At 38.4% G+C, this 14067-nt stretch overlaps 1 long non-coding RNA gene and 1 other non-coding gene across 2 annotated transcripts in view; both read left to right on the top strand.

The window, feature by feature from the left end:
* The window catches only part of LOC124906209 (uncharacterized), a 73328-nt gene that overhangs the window by 2908 nt on the left and 56353 nt on the right, over window positions 1-14067 (top strand). The window lies entirely within an intron of this gene.
* LOC124906358 (small nucleolar RNA U13) lies at window positions 6010-6113 on the top strand. Its single transcript, XR_007096326.1, has one exon. It is a non-coding gene; the product is annotated as a small nucleolar RNA U13 (small nucleolar RNA).

Below are 14067 nucleotides of genomic sequence, written 5' to 3'. Positions count from 1 at the left end.
TTCATATAGGTCATGTAGAACCTATCTTGGAAGTGGATAACACCTCATTGCAAAGGTTAATATTCTCAGTGAAGCATAAAAAATTGTCAGAATTATTTGACACAAAATATAATTTGAAATTTGTATTATTTTTAGTCAAGCCAGCAATGTTCTGTTACTTCAAGGATGTTGATTATGGGTCTGTCAATATTACTGTTGCCAGTGATGTGTGATTGCTTCATTCATGATAAATGAATTAAGTATGTAATTTGGTTCTATACTGTTTTAGCTGTATACCAAACCAACTCCTTTGAAACAGTCTCTAATCTCAAGGAGCTTGTAATTTTAATAGACGTTAAGATGTTAAGACAAAGGCAATTCATTTGTTCAACAAATATACTGCATACTGAGAATTTACTATGTACAAGACAATTCATTAGACTTCTTGGGGCATGGGGACTGTAACTACGGTGAATAGGAGAGATTTGGTTCCTATCCTTGAAGCTACCAGAAGACAAACATGAAAGAACAAATGATACAATTACTTAATAATTATGTGAAGTGTTCCAAAATACATCTACAGGGTGGGCTGAGGATGTATAATGAGTGAAGTGAAAGAGCAAACTTTTTAAAAGGGAACTCCTGAAGGTTAAATTGTGTTTGCGATTAACTGGAATAAAACCTTAATCGTGTCAAAGAAAAAAAGAGTTCTTGTTAAATACAAAGTAAAAGATCTCTAAAAGAAATATGGTGGTGTTTGGTGAGAATCTTATACAGTCAGGAAAATATCCTTGCATGCACTGAAGACATCTTACCACTTGAAGGAATGATTTTTCATCCTAGGATAAAAGTAGGATTTTATATTCCACTTTAAGAGGAAAAATAGATAAGAAATGCAGATGGCCAATTAACTTCTTTAGTAGAACTTCATGTACGTGATAAAGAATGAAACTTTAACAAAAAAAACTTTAACACGTTTATATGCTCATAAAAACTTCAAATTGATTAAAATTCTTCAGTGACAAGGTTAGGGTCCTTGATCAGTGAATGTTCTCACAGATTTCTAAGCAACATAGAAGGGTTATATTTGAAGTAGAAGTATAAAGAAGAATTATACAAAGAAAGCCAAAATTGAGTAAGAAGTGTCAAGAATATGATTAATTTTTGTAACCTACTCTTTCAATAATGAATTTCAACCAAACCTAATTAATCTTACATTTCTAGCACAACATATAATTTTAAAGAATGTGTCATTAAAGAGATACATAATCAGAAGTAAAGTAAATATCATCTAGGCTTAGATTAGGGAAAAATATTGGTTTTGATTTAATTTTTGAACAGGTAATATGCATATTATTGAAAATTTAAAAATTGTTTCACAACCCTGACCCCATCTACCTAGTTCCCAACCACCCTAGACACACACAGACAGCTGCACACCTGACGTTCTTTTCTTTTTTCTTTTTCTGTTCTTGAGGTAGGGTCTCACTCCATTGCCCAGGCTGGAGTGCAGCAGCACCATCACGGCTCACTGCAGCCTCAACCTCCCAGGCTCAAGTGATCCTTCCACCTCAGCCTACTGAGTAGTTGGAACTACAGGTGCACACCACCATGCCCAGCTAATTTTTATTTTAATTTTTTAAGGGATGGGGTGTTATTGTGTTGCCTAGGCTGGTCTCAAATTCCTGGGCTCAAACCATCCTCCCCCGGTTGGCCTCTCAAAGTGCTGGGATTATAGGTATGAGCCACCACACCTGGTCCTGATGTTATTATGTGTATATGTAAACATAGTTTGTTTAGCACATACCAACAAATCTTTTTTCCTAGGTAGTATTGGGTTGATACAAATCAGTGTAGTTTTTCTTGTCTCTTTTTACGCAAAAGGTAGCATACTGCAGACACTGTTGTGCCGTTGCTTCCCCACCACCCACTTAATTTTATTTATTTCTTGGAGATCTTTCTAAGTCAGTACATGGACCCTTTCCCTTTCTCCTTATTTATAGCTGTATAGTATTCCACTATATGGAGCTACCATAATTTATTTAACTAGTCTCCAGTTGACGAATATTTGTGTTGTTTCCAACAAACATTTCTGTAGTGAATAATCTTATGTAGGGTCATTTCACAAATATATCCGTGGAGGTAGAATTGCTAGCCAAAGGAATAATTAGTAATTTTGTAGATACTGCCAAAATGCCCTACACATAAAGTTTATAGTAACTTAATGCATTTAACAGTAATACATAACAATATTTTCCACTTGGTGTCATCAAACTTTTTTTGTGTGTGTGAACAAATGAAGAAAAATGGTATCTAATTTTTCCCATTGTTTTCCTCTTGTATGATTTTCTTTTGGGCTGTTTGTGTTTTTCTTCTCAACTTAAGCTCCTCTGTAGTAGGAAGATAAGACCTTTATTAGTATGAATTACAAATATTTTTATCTCATCTTATATAAAATGTAAAATTTTATTTTTAAAAATAAAATGTAAAATAAATTTTATTTTTAAAAATAAAATGTAAAATAAATTTTATTTTTATGTACCTGAATTTACCAGTATTTTCTCTTACGGCTTTTGGATTTGACTCATAGTTGAAAAGGTCTACCATATTCAAGGTCATTAAGAAAGTATCCTGTTTTTCTCCTAGATCTTGGGTAGCTTTTGGTGTTGACCTTTACATTTTTTATTCATTTGAAATTTGGCCTGGTGTAAGACAGGCTTTCCCCTAGAATGCTGCCCAGGTAGCTCAGTATCAAATATTGAACTATCCCTATTTTCATTCCACTCTGATTTATAATGCAATTTTTATCCCACATATATTTGGATCTATTTCTGAACTTTTTTTTTTTAACATACATATTTTTACACGTTCCAACTCTTAGAAATGTTCCATGCTGTTTCTGTTTTTAGGCTTTTAGGTACCTGCCGTGCTTAATTTTTTATTTTAAACATGGTTTTTCCTGTTAACAAAGTTTGCATTGGTTGCTTCCTTAAGCAACACCTTCAGAAATTTAAATGCGTTTGAAATGATGTGAAAATATTATTCATATCAGAGCTAATTCTGCAAAAGCTGAAATCTTGTGGAAAAAAAAAATCTATTTCAAGCGAAATCCCCTAAATCCCAGGGAACCTCCATATACTCAGACCAGAAATATTTTTTGATTCTACATAATGTATTTTAAAGGGATAAATGGATCAACTGGGCAGAGAGTTGGAAGAAAGTGTTTTAGCTCTGCTTCTGAATTCCCCAGTGTGATCGCTGGGAAACTTCACCATAAGTTGCATTCATTGTAGGGCAGTTTTGTCGCTTAAAAAAATATTTTTAATTGGAAACAGCAAGCTGGTTATATAATTGTAATTGCAGGATTATAATGAAAATATCAGGCCTGCAGGTTTTACATAATTACATGCAAAGTCATGTGCAAGAGTGGAAAAAGGGAAGAGCAGAGATATGTCTAATTATTTACTCTCTGTGGGGTGTACACAGATTATTTCTGGTGCAATTTAATCTGGAAGATTATATAGCTGAGAATAAGATATCAAATAGATATCCTTGAGACACCAGAATCTCATGAGTCAGTTGCAAACATCAGGCACGCAGCCTGCACTTGATGCTGGATAACTTGCTGATGTTGTATTCCTGACTTTCCTTAAGCAAGGTCTGTTCGAAAAGCTTGAAATTAGTATTCATTTAAACAGAGAAGCACTGGAACCAGCTGGCATTCTGTAAATGAAATCAATGGAACGGGAACGTTGAATAGTTTTTTCTTAATTATTTTGCTAGGTCGTCACTACAAATGGCCAAATCCTAAATCAGCTCTTTCACTCTTCTAGTGTTGACAAGGAAGTCGTCAACACTAGCATTTTACAGTGTTTAATGAATTATTTTCCAAACATACATTAAGTTTACTGTAAACAAGGGTATTTATAAGAATACCATGACTATCTGACATTTAGGTAAGAATTATGTCGTACTCTAGGAAAAAGAGAAAGCAATTTCAGTACTATCAGAACCTGGAGCAGAACTTAGTCTTGGGTGGAGCTGACATATGAAATTGAAATTAAAAAAGAAATCAAAGTAACTCTCCAAGTTTTGGACAGGGTATTTTTATTCTTCAGAATATCGATCCTGAAATTAGAGTGAATACATCAAAAGTGTGTGTTTAATTTCTTCAGTGGAAACATGAACTCATCCCTTGGGGAAAAATATCACTAATTGTACATTGAATAGTTTTTGCCCATAAATAGCAACACGTATAAATGCAAATACATGAAGTCAAAATTAATTTTAAATACTTCCTCAGTAAATGTAGAGGTTTTTATTAATAATCTAAAAGAAGGAAAAAAAGCATTACTGAGAAAATCTCCATTTTTTTTTAAAGTTTATGAAATGTGAGCATTGAGTTACTTTCTTGTATGACATGATTGACCCATATGTGAATTTTTTCTAAGAATAAGGAAATGGGTGAATTAAAATTGGGACTAGAAGGTTGGATGATTTAAAGGCTATGCTTATTTAAATGTTCTATTCTCTCAAAATAGTACATTTTTGGGCTTGCTTGCACAATAATGAAACAGCCTACTTGAGGTAACTTAACAATAATCCCAACACTTTGGGAGGCTGAGGTGAGATGACTGGAGCCCAGGAGTTCGAGACCAGCCTGGGCAATATAGCGAGACCCCATCTCTCCCCCCGCCCCCCCAAAAAAATCATTGGACTAAGGTGGAAGGAGACAGGGCAGCTGTGAAGTTGCTGGTATGAGGGACGAGAATTAATGTAATGGTGGGCAGCAGGTGATGATTCTGTGGCAAAGCAACAAAAGCAGGGATTATAATTTATTTCTGTTTATAACCATCAACACCTAGTTTGCCTTTCACTGTTTGCTGATTTTGTTGCCTGGGAAGCATGAATCTCTCTGATTCCTTTTTAGTGGTTCTTCATGAAGCCTACATGTGAGAAATGAAAATTGAAAATGCATTTTTTAAAAAGGAAAATAAAACTGGTATAAAATCAAATTACTCCGGCTCATGTATAATAAAATACATTAATCCTTTCCTAATTATTTCATTCTACGGTTTGTGGATTTTTTTTTTTTTTTTTTTTTTTTGTAATTAACGAATTTATTAAGCACCTTCTATGCTTGAGGGAATGACTTTGTCTCTATTTTTTCAGCAAATTATTTTGTGTGGGTGACAAAATGTACGTTCCCTTGCATGTAATATTTAAGTGCATATTAAATGTCTAATATGACTCAGGTCACAAAATTTCAGAAACAAAGACAACAGGAACTGTCAGCTCAGGAAAGTTTGTTTGCTTTTGAGATGGAATCTCACTCTGTGGCCCAGGGTGGAGTGCAATGGCATGATCTCAGTTCACTGCAACCTCTGCCTCCCAGGTTCAAGCAATTCTCCTGCCTCAGCCTCCCGAGTAGCTGGAATTACAGGTGCCCACCACCACGTCCGGCTAATTTTTATATTTTTAGTAGAGACAAGGTTTCACCATGTTGGCCAGGTTGGTCTGAAACTCCTGACCTCAGGTGATCCACCTGCCTTGAACTCCCAAAGTGCTGGGATTACAGGTGTGAGCCACCATGCCTGGCCAGGAAAGTTTTCCTGAAAGAGACTAGTCAGTTTTTTTCTCTCCTTCTACATATTGCCTATAATTTTCCAGGAATCAGAGAACTGGATTATTCATGCTTAGAAAGGAATAAAGGACAGGACTTAAAGGATTCAGGAATTTTTTACATAATCTCGGACGACTGCTTAACTTGTCACTGGGGACACTTTGAAGGTGTGGGGTGTTTGTGTGTGTGTTTCACACCAATCTTTTTTTTTTTTTCTGGAACTTTTCTTTCCTGAGTTAGTGGCTGAAGATGCCATAGAGGGAAGCAGAGGTGATACAGAGAAAGGCTAGGATAACTGAATGACAAAGCAGTGGTTTCAGAGGGTTCATTGCAGCCTCTGGATCTGGGGACGGGTCTTACAGGTAACAGCCTGTCTAGGGAAGCAATTGGAAAATGCCATTTCTCTGATTCTTCTATAGTTCATGAGCATGATGATTGGGTGTTCATGACATGTGTGAGATGTGCCACCCTCTGAACCTTGTTCCCACATCGGCACATTATCCATCTAACCTAAAAAGAAAAAAAAATGTTGCTCCCCTCAGGTGTGAGGGCAGTTGAAATTAGAAGGGAAATCAATACAGCACAGAAATGACAAAACACCTTGGTTTTCAGGAGGAATGGGGTGAGGGGCACATATATTTGAAGTCATGGTGAGATTTTTTCATCTCTGAATATCTTACCTAATGGGCTCCCTGGATTCTTTTTCTGCTCTTTGGAATCTCATGGCTTACGTCTTAGATTTCTTCTTTCCAACAATTACTAAAAGCACAGAAACAGACATTCCTGACTGCTCATTTCTTTTTTTTTTATTATTTTATTTTATTATTATTATACTTTAAGTTTTAGGGTACATGTGCACAATGTGCAGGTTAGTTACATATGTACACATGTGCCATGCTGGTGTGCTGCACCCATTAACTCGTTATTTAGCATTAGGTATATCTCCTAAAGCTATCCCTCCCCCCTCCCCTCACCCCACAACAGTCCCCAGAGTGTGATGTTCGCCTTCCTGTGTCCATGTGTTCTCATTGTTCAATTCCCACCTATGAGTGAGAATATGCGGTGTTCGGTTTTTTGTTCTTGCGATAGTTTACTGAGAATGATGATTTCCAGTTTCATCCATGTCCCTACAGAGGACATGAACTCATCATTTTTTATGGCCGCATAGTATTCCATGGTGTATATGTACCACATTTTCTTAATCCAGTCTATCATTGTTGGACATTTGGGTTGGTTCCAAGTCTTTGCTATTGTGAATAGTGCCACAATAAACATACGTGTGCATGTGTCTTTATAGCAGCATGATTTATAGTCGTTTGGGTATATACCCAGTAATGGGATGGCTGGGTCAAATGGTGTTTCTAGTTCTAGATCCCTGAGGAATCGCCACACTGACTTCCACAAGGGTTGAACTAGTTTACAGTCCCACCTGACTGCTCATTTCTAGTAATAATCTTTTAAATGAGAGCCTCTCATGTTCAGAGTCCAGTCTCCTGCATTCTACTCACATTTCTGCCTCAAATGTCCCTCTAAAGTCCAAGGTACAACTCTGAATTTTAGGAATTCTCTGACCCTTTGCTGTAGTTCCAAAATGAACATTTGCCAGAATCAATACTCAAATCAGTCTCAATAAATAAATATATTCTAAAGCACCCTATGCAAACTGTGCAAACTGTTGCACTATGGGAATCTTTCTTCTACATCTGGATTTTCTAGAAATGAATCTTTAGTAATGTCAGCAAATTTAGAGTCTTGAGGTATCTGCCAAATCTTACCTCTGCCAAGCATTTTGTGGCTAATCTATTCATTTAATTTTTCTTACAATTCTTTTTTTTTCTAATTATAGCTGACAAGCTATGACAACTTGCTATAGTCAATATGTCGCCTGACCCTCCTTTAATAAATATCACAGTGTGAACGATGTGTGCATGGTGCTAATATATTTTATTCTTCCTCTGAGAATTGTTATAATGACCTTACTTTTTGGGGGAGAAATGTGGGTTGCTGCTTATTCAACATGCTTTTAGGTTTGACTTAGCTATCACGTTTTCTTCTTTTAATCTAGACTTTTCTGTATTTTCTTCACTGACCATATATTACTGGCATATATTACTATCATAAAAAAATCTGCATAAAAACATCTTGCCCTCACCAAAATCAACAAAAATGGAAACTTTAAAACTGATATATGAACACACACATATATAATTTTTTTTTTTTTTTTTTGAGACAGAGTCTTGCTCTGTCACCAGGCTGGAGTGCTGTGGTGCAATCTTGGCTCACTGCAACCTCCGCCTCCCAGGTTCAAGCGATTCTCCTGTCTCAGCCTCCCAAGTAGCTGGGACTACAGGTGTGTGCCACCACACCCAGCTAATTTTTGTATTTTTAGTAGAGACAGGGTTTCATCATGTTGGCCAGGATGGTCTCGATTTCTTGACCTCATGATCCACCCACCTCGGCCTCCCAAAGTGCTGGGATTACGTGCCCGGTCACATAATGTAATTTTTAAGTAAAGATTCAGAGAAAAGTTTTAATGATAGTGAGATCTGATGTTTGCCTAGGACTTTACCATTTGATAGTTGTTTTCATATATGTTATATTAGAGGTAGAATAGTTTAGTAGTCTGAAGTCAGACAGCTCAAATCTTGGCTCTGCCACTTAACAGATATGGTTTGGGCCAGGTATTGACCTTCTCTAAGCCTCAGTTTTATCTCTGTACCTGTTTCCTAAGGTCATTATGAGGATTTGGTGGGACAATTCATAGAATGTGCTTATAGGGGCCAGATTATGCCAAATGTTCACTTCACATTACTTGCCTTTTTCTTTTAAACCGCAACACTCTTATGAAAAAGTAGGGTATGTGGGTTTATCTTCACTTTACCAAAGAAGAAAATAACGTTCAGAGAGATTAGGTGAATGACAAGTAATTCTATCATTTTAAACTGAGTTTCCATTGCAGTCTTAATGGCAAGACTGGAAAAGAGAATCCGGTGAGTTCCCTGGGCCGTTTCCTTAGTGTGGACTAACACACAGGGAATGTGAAACACCCGTTGAGCCACACTCTTGTGGGGTTAGGAGAACCTCCAAAGATCTGATACCGTCAGATATTCTATATAGTCACATAGCTAATGGCTTCAAGTTCAACTTGAGCTGAATGTTAACAGGGTAGATTCAAATCATTTTTCACTTTTTGGGGGGCTTGGAGTGGGGAGGTGATGATGAGCATTTGTAATAACTCCAGTAACTTTCTCATTTCTAAATGAAAATTACTTCTCTGAGAATTTCTGTGAGTAGGTAGCCTGTGAAAGCTACTTTCAAGGCTCAGCTTCCTTGGTTAATGTAGCTTTGCTAAAGGGGCATACAGGCCTTCACATCATACGGTGCCGGCTGGCCCTAGCCTTATTTAGCTGGGAGATATGTTGATCCAGTGACTTTATATGAGGCTCGTCTTTTAGAGCTACTTCAAAAGTAATGCCCCCATCAGCTTGTGACAAAGATGCACTCTGCCATTTCTTCCTGGCAATTACATTTTCTGTTCTAAATTAATGTCACCTCACAGCATTCTTTTACCATTCTTTGGCATTTAATCCAATTTTCTTATTCCTAACAAACAATTTTAAAAACAAACTCAATCCCTTTAAAATGAACTGAAATGTTAAAATGTTTCCTAGGAACACCTTCAGTCCTCATTCTATTGTTTGTTGCAAAAATATTCTTGGATTTCTTCGCTTTGAGAGAAACTATGAAAATGAAAAATTCCCAATAAACAAAGGGGGAGAGTTCACTTTATAAAAGAATGCTTTTCTTTGCGCTGGCATGTGTAATAAAAAGAAACAAATACAAATTCTTTATTCACTGATGGGTTCTGTTAGCAATACACTTAATTTTCAGACACAAAATGTTAGGAGTCAGTTGACTACCAAAATCTCTGAAATCACATGGTTGAGGAGATAATTTAAAATGGAAACATTTGATACATACCAAAGTTTTCAGTGATATAGCTATTTGGCAACCTCAAAGTGGAATCTACAGAGATAGTCTGGAAAGTCATTGTTAAAAGACTCATAAAATCATGTCTTCGGATAGTGATGAAAACATAGTTTAGCGAACTTAATTCTAGAAGACAGTAAGCTGGAAAAGCAAGGTTTAAAAGCCAGACCACAGACAGAGAAGTACTTCACATAGGCACAATAATCTTCAAGAAATAGATAAATGTATTGGATATTTATTTTTATTTGTAATAATTCTAAGAAGCTATCTCATAACTACAAAATGCCACACAAGCATAGCAGCTTTTATCCAATTGCTATATGTCCTTGGGCATGTTTTTACAATAATAGAAATGTTAGTTTTTCTATTCACATACAAACTCCAATTTAGCTAATTAAATCTTAGCCTTAATATGATTCTACTGGAATTAAAGAAAGATACTGCACACATTACTTCCTGCCCTGACCATTTGAGTGTTGCTGACAGCAGTTAAAAAGGCATCACATCCCTTTGGTGTGGCATTGCCAGGTTTAAGAAAAACAATGCCAGGCAAACTGGGCAGAGAAGCTGGAAATCCTTCAGGAATGAGATACAACATGAGTAGGTATGTGTGCATACACATGCAGGTAGAAATATATGTTATTATTTACCCAAAACTTGTTACAGAGCATATACAACTAATTTTCTTTAAAATAGGTGGCTGTCAGATTAAATTCATAATGTCTCAACCTTGATGAAAATTGTGTGTGTGTCAACTGCAGGCTATAAAATCTATTTTTTTAAAAAAACGTTTACAAAAACAGCAAAAATGATAGATTATTCACATTCTACCCTCCCCAGTTTGAATCCAAATCCCTGGGGAGGGTAAGATGAACTGCACTCCCAAATCAAGACATGTACCAGGAAACTAAATTAATGTTAAGTGTTGCAATTGGCATTTTTTAAAAGCAATCAAAGCTCCTGGAATTAGTTTTTCTATCAAGTTTTATCCCTAGCATGAAATTCAGATGCAGAGTTTCGAACTTGGGCAAGGCAGGATTGTATTTTCCAAATACGGCAGCAGCCACCTGCCCTTTTAACAGTGTGATATGGGCATTCCTTCATCAAGAAGTGGGGCCGATAGACCATTTTATGGAATATGGGTGGACAAATGGCAGGGCACAAGGGTTGCTATATGACTTCCAGAGCATAAGTCATACAGTGCGATACAGCTTCTTCCGGGATCACTTTCTTGGGAGTGTGAATCTTGGGAGCCCTGGCCAACATGTAAGATGACTAGCCAGCCTGAAGCCACCATGCTGAAGAGACTGTGTGTAAAAGCTCCATAGAGATGATAGAGATAGAGATACCTGAGGAACCCCACTGTTCTAGCCTCCAGCTATTGAAGTCTTCCACCACCAACCTCCAGACAAGAGAGAGCCAGCCTTCAAATTACTTCACCCCCAGACTTCAAGCCAGCCCTAGCTGATGCTGAGGGCAGCAGAGACCAGCCATCCTCATGAAGCCCTGCTCAAATTACAAAGTGGTGAGCAAAATAAGTAGTGTTGGCTGCGCACGGTCACTCACCTGTAATCCCAGCACTTTGGGAGGCTGGGATCACTTGAGCCTAGGAGTTCGAGACCAGCCTGGGCAACATGGCGGGAACCTGTCTCTACAAAATAAATAAATAAGTAGTGTCATTCTAAGTCACCAAGTTCTCCGGTGGTCTGCTGTATAGCAGTAGATAACCAGAATATTAGAATTTGAAAAGAAAAAAAAACTTTGTTACAGTTAAATGCTAAGTATAAGTGAATATACCCATAGGGTCGATTGATCAGCAAATTAATAAACTGTAATTTAAATTACACCTTTATTGTTGGAGAAGAGCTGCTGACATACATGGAAGTGTTAGCTGACTGGGTGTCTTAATGAGACTACTGAAACTTAACCATAGTCTCATGTCTTGATTTCTTAACTATGACCATCAAGTTAATAAAAAGTCAGAGGGTGTAGCAGCCTTTCCGTTGCCTGCTTCTCATGATTCTCTGGGTCAGGAATTGGGGTAGAGCTCCACTGGGTAGTTCAGGATGGCTTGGCCAGGCATGGTGGCTCATGCCTGTAATCCCAGCATTTTGGTAGGCCAAGGTGGGCGGATCACCTGAAGTCAGGAGTTCGAGACCAGCCTGGCCAACGTGGTGAAACCCCGTCTCTACTAAAAATACAAAAATTAGCTGGGAGTGGTGGTGCGTGCCTGTAATCCAAGCTACTCAGGAGGCTGAGGCAGAAGAATATCTTGAACCTGGGAGGCGGAGGTTGCAGTAAGCCGAGATTGCACCACTGCACTCCAGCCTGAGTGACAGAAGAAGACTCTGTCTCAAAAACAAACATACAAAAACAACATAAAAAGAAGGCTTGAACTCACCTGGCTGCTCCTCCACGTGGCCTCTCTGCGTCTGTGTGCTGGTCTCTGGTCTCATCACTCAGTAGTCTAGCCCAAGCTTTTGTTTGTTTGTTTGTTTGTTTCAGACAAGTAGCTGGGATTACAGGCATGCGCCACCACGCCTAGCTAAGTTTGTATTTTTTAGTAGATACAGGGTTTCTCCATGTTGGTCAGGCTGGTCTCGAACTCCCGACCTCAGGTGATCTTCCCGCCTCAGCCTCCCAAAGTGCTGGGATTACAGGCGTAAGCCACCACGCCTGGCCTCCCCAGGCTTCTTTAAAGCATGGAGGCTGGCCCCCAGAGGGAGGAAGCAGAAGCTGCCAGACCTCTATGGCCTGAGCTTGGAAGTCTCAGAACATCACTTTCATTGTATCTTTCCGCTGCCAAATGAAATCACAAACCAAGTCAAGCGGAGGGAAGAGACTCCACCTCTTGAATTGTGTGACATTATGTGCATACAAGATGGGAAGAAATTGATGGTGGCCATTTTGGAGAGAAAAGGGAAGAGCAATTGCGTCTGAGCAGGGAGGGAGTGGTTCTAATTCTGGTTCTGCTAATAACTAGCTTTGTGGTGTTGGCCATGTCACCTGAAAATGCTTAACCGGTTTGCTCAAAGTACAGGTGAGCAGAATGAGCCATAAGCTCCAAGCCCCTGTCTAGTTCTAAAAATTTGCATCTAATCAAGGCAGAATCTACATTAGCCTAAAAGGTGGGAGAGGAAGGGATGTCAATAGAAAACACAATGAGTGAATTATATCCACTTGTGCTCTTCTGGGCTGCTGTTTAACCTTTCACTGTGGACTGGTGTGACATCTCCCTCATCGACCATTATACAACCTCAGCTTTTGAGGCCTATTCTTCTATCTTTAGGACTTTGTTTCTGTTACAACTTATTCTACTTCAGCCTCACAAGGTGGGAAATCAAAATACTATTTTTTTCAGCTAAGGTATTGTCTTTTACAGGGAGTAGGAAGCTTTAGGTTACAAAACAAGTTGGGAGAAAGATCCTGGAAATGAAGCTTTGAGAAAATAACGTAGAACATCTCTTATAAATGTTGTGTCCAACAATCTGAATCCAATATTGCAAAATGAGACCTCTGAAGTAAACTGAAACAGATGGCGGGGTGAGGCGGGGGGCGGTATTTTAAAAACTCTTCAACCATGGGCTTTATTACTTTGAAATATACAATTCTTTCGGCAAGTATTCCCCAAAATTCATTGTAATTGGACCACAAGTTGCCACAGGGGCCCCCTGAGCTAAGTCTTTGATCAGTAATTGATGAGATTCAATTTGTAATATCTATGCTAGGTGCACAGGGTCTCTATCTTGAGCTCATAATTCAGTAAATTAATCTGGTGCTTTCTAATTTGGGGGACTAAGTTAGACATAGCATTTGAGCCCTTATTGGCTGCATCCATTCGAGGAATTTCAGCAACAACCCTCCAGGTTCAGGCCTCTGTATACCTGGTGCTAGCTAGTTACTTGTGTGCTGCAGAGACACTAAAAGAACTGGAACTGAGATCTACCCAATCCTAGATTATCTTTGTCATTAAGCTCTCAACCCCTCCCTATGCCCTTCCTACTCTGTTGTCAAGAATTTTCAGGCCTAGTTTAACTAAAAAGATTCCCCAAATGAGGACACAGTAATGTTTTTGGTCACCATAAATAATATAGAAATCCTTACACTCAAGAATTAGCTTACCATTACTATTAAACCATAGAGGGCAGGCACGGTCGCTCATGCCTATAATCCCAGCACTTTGGGAGGCCAAGTGGGCAGATCACTTGAGGTCAGGAGTTCGAGACTAGCCTGGCCAACATGGTGAAACCTCATCTCTAATAAAACCACAAAAATTAGCCGGGCATGGTGGAGTGCTCTTGTAATTCCAGCTACTCAGGAGGCTGAGGCAGGAGAATCGCTTGAGCTTGGGAGGCAGAGGTTGCAGTGAGCCGACGTTGTACCACTGCACTCCAGCCTGGGTGAAAGAGTGAGACTCTGTCTCTAAATAAATAAATAAATCATAGAATATTGTTAGATCTGCCACTCACTCATTT

The sequence above is a fragment of the Homo sapiens genome, chromosome 3, assembly GCF_000001405.40.
Source record: "Homo sapiens chromosome 3, GRCh38.p14 Primary Assembly".
In the NCBI taxonomy this organism is placed as follows: Eukaryota; Metazoa; Chordata; class Mammalia; order Primates; family Hominidae; genus Homo; species Homo sapiens.
This window is presented reverse-complemented; position numbering and strand designations above follow the sequence as displayed.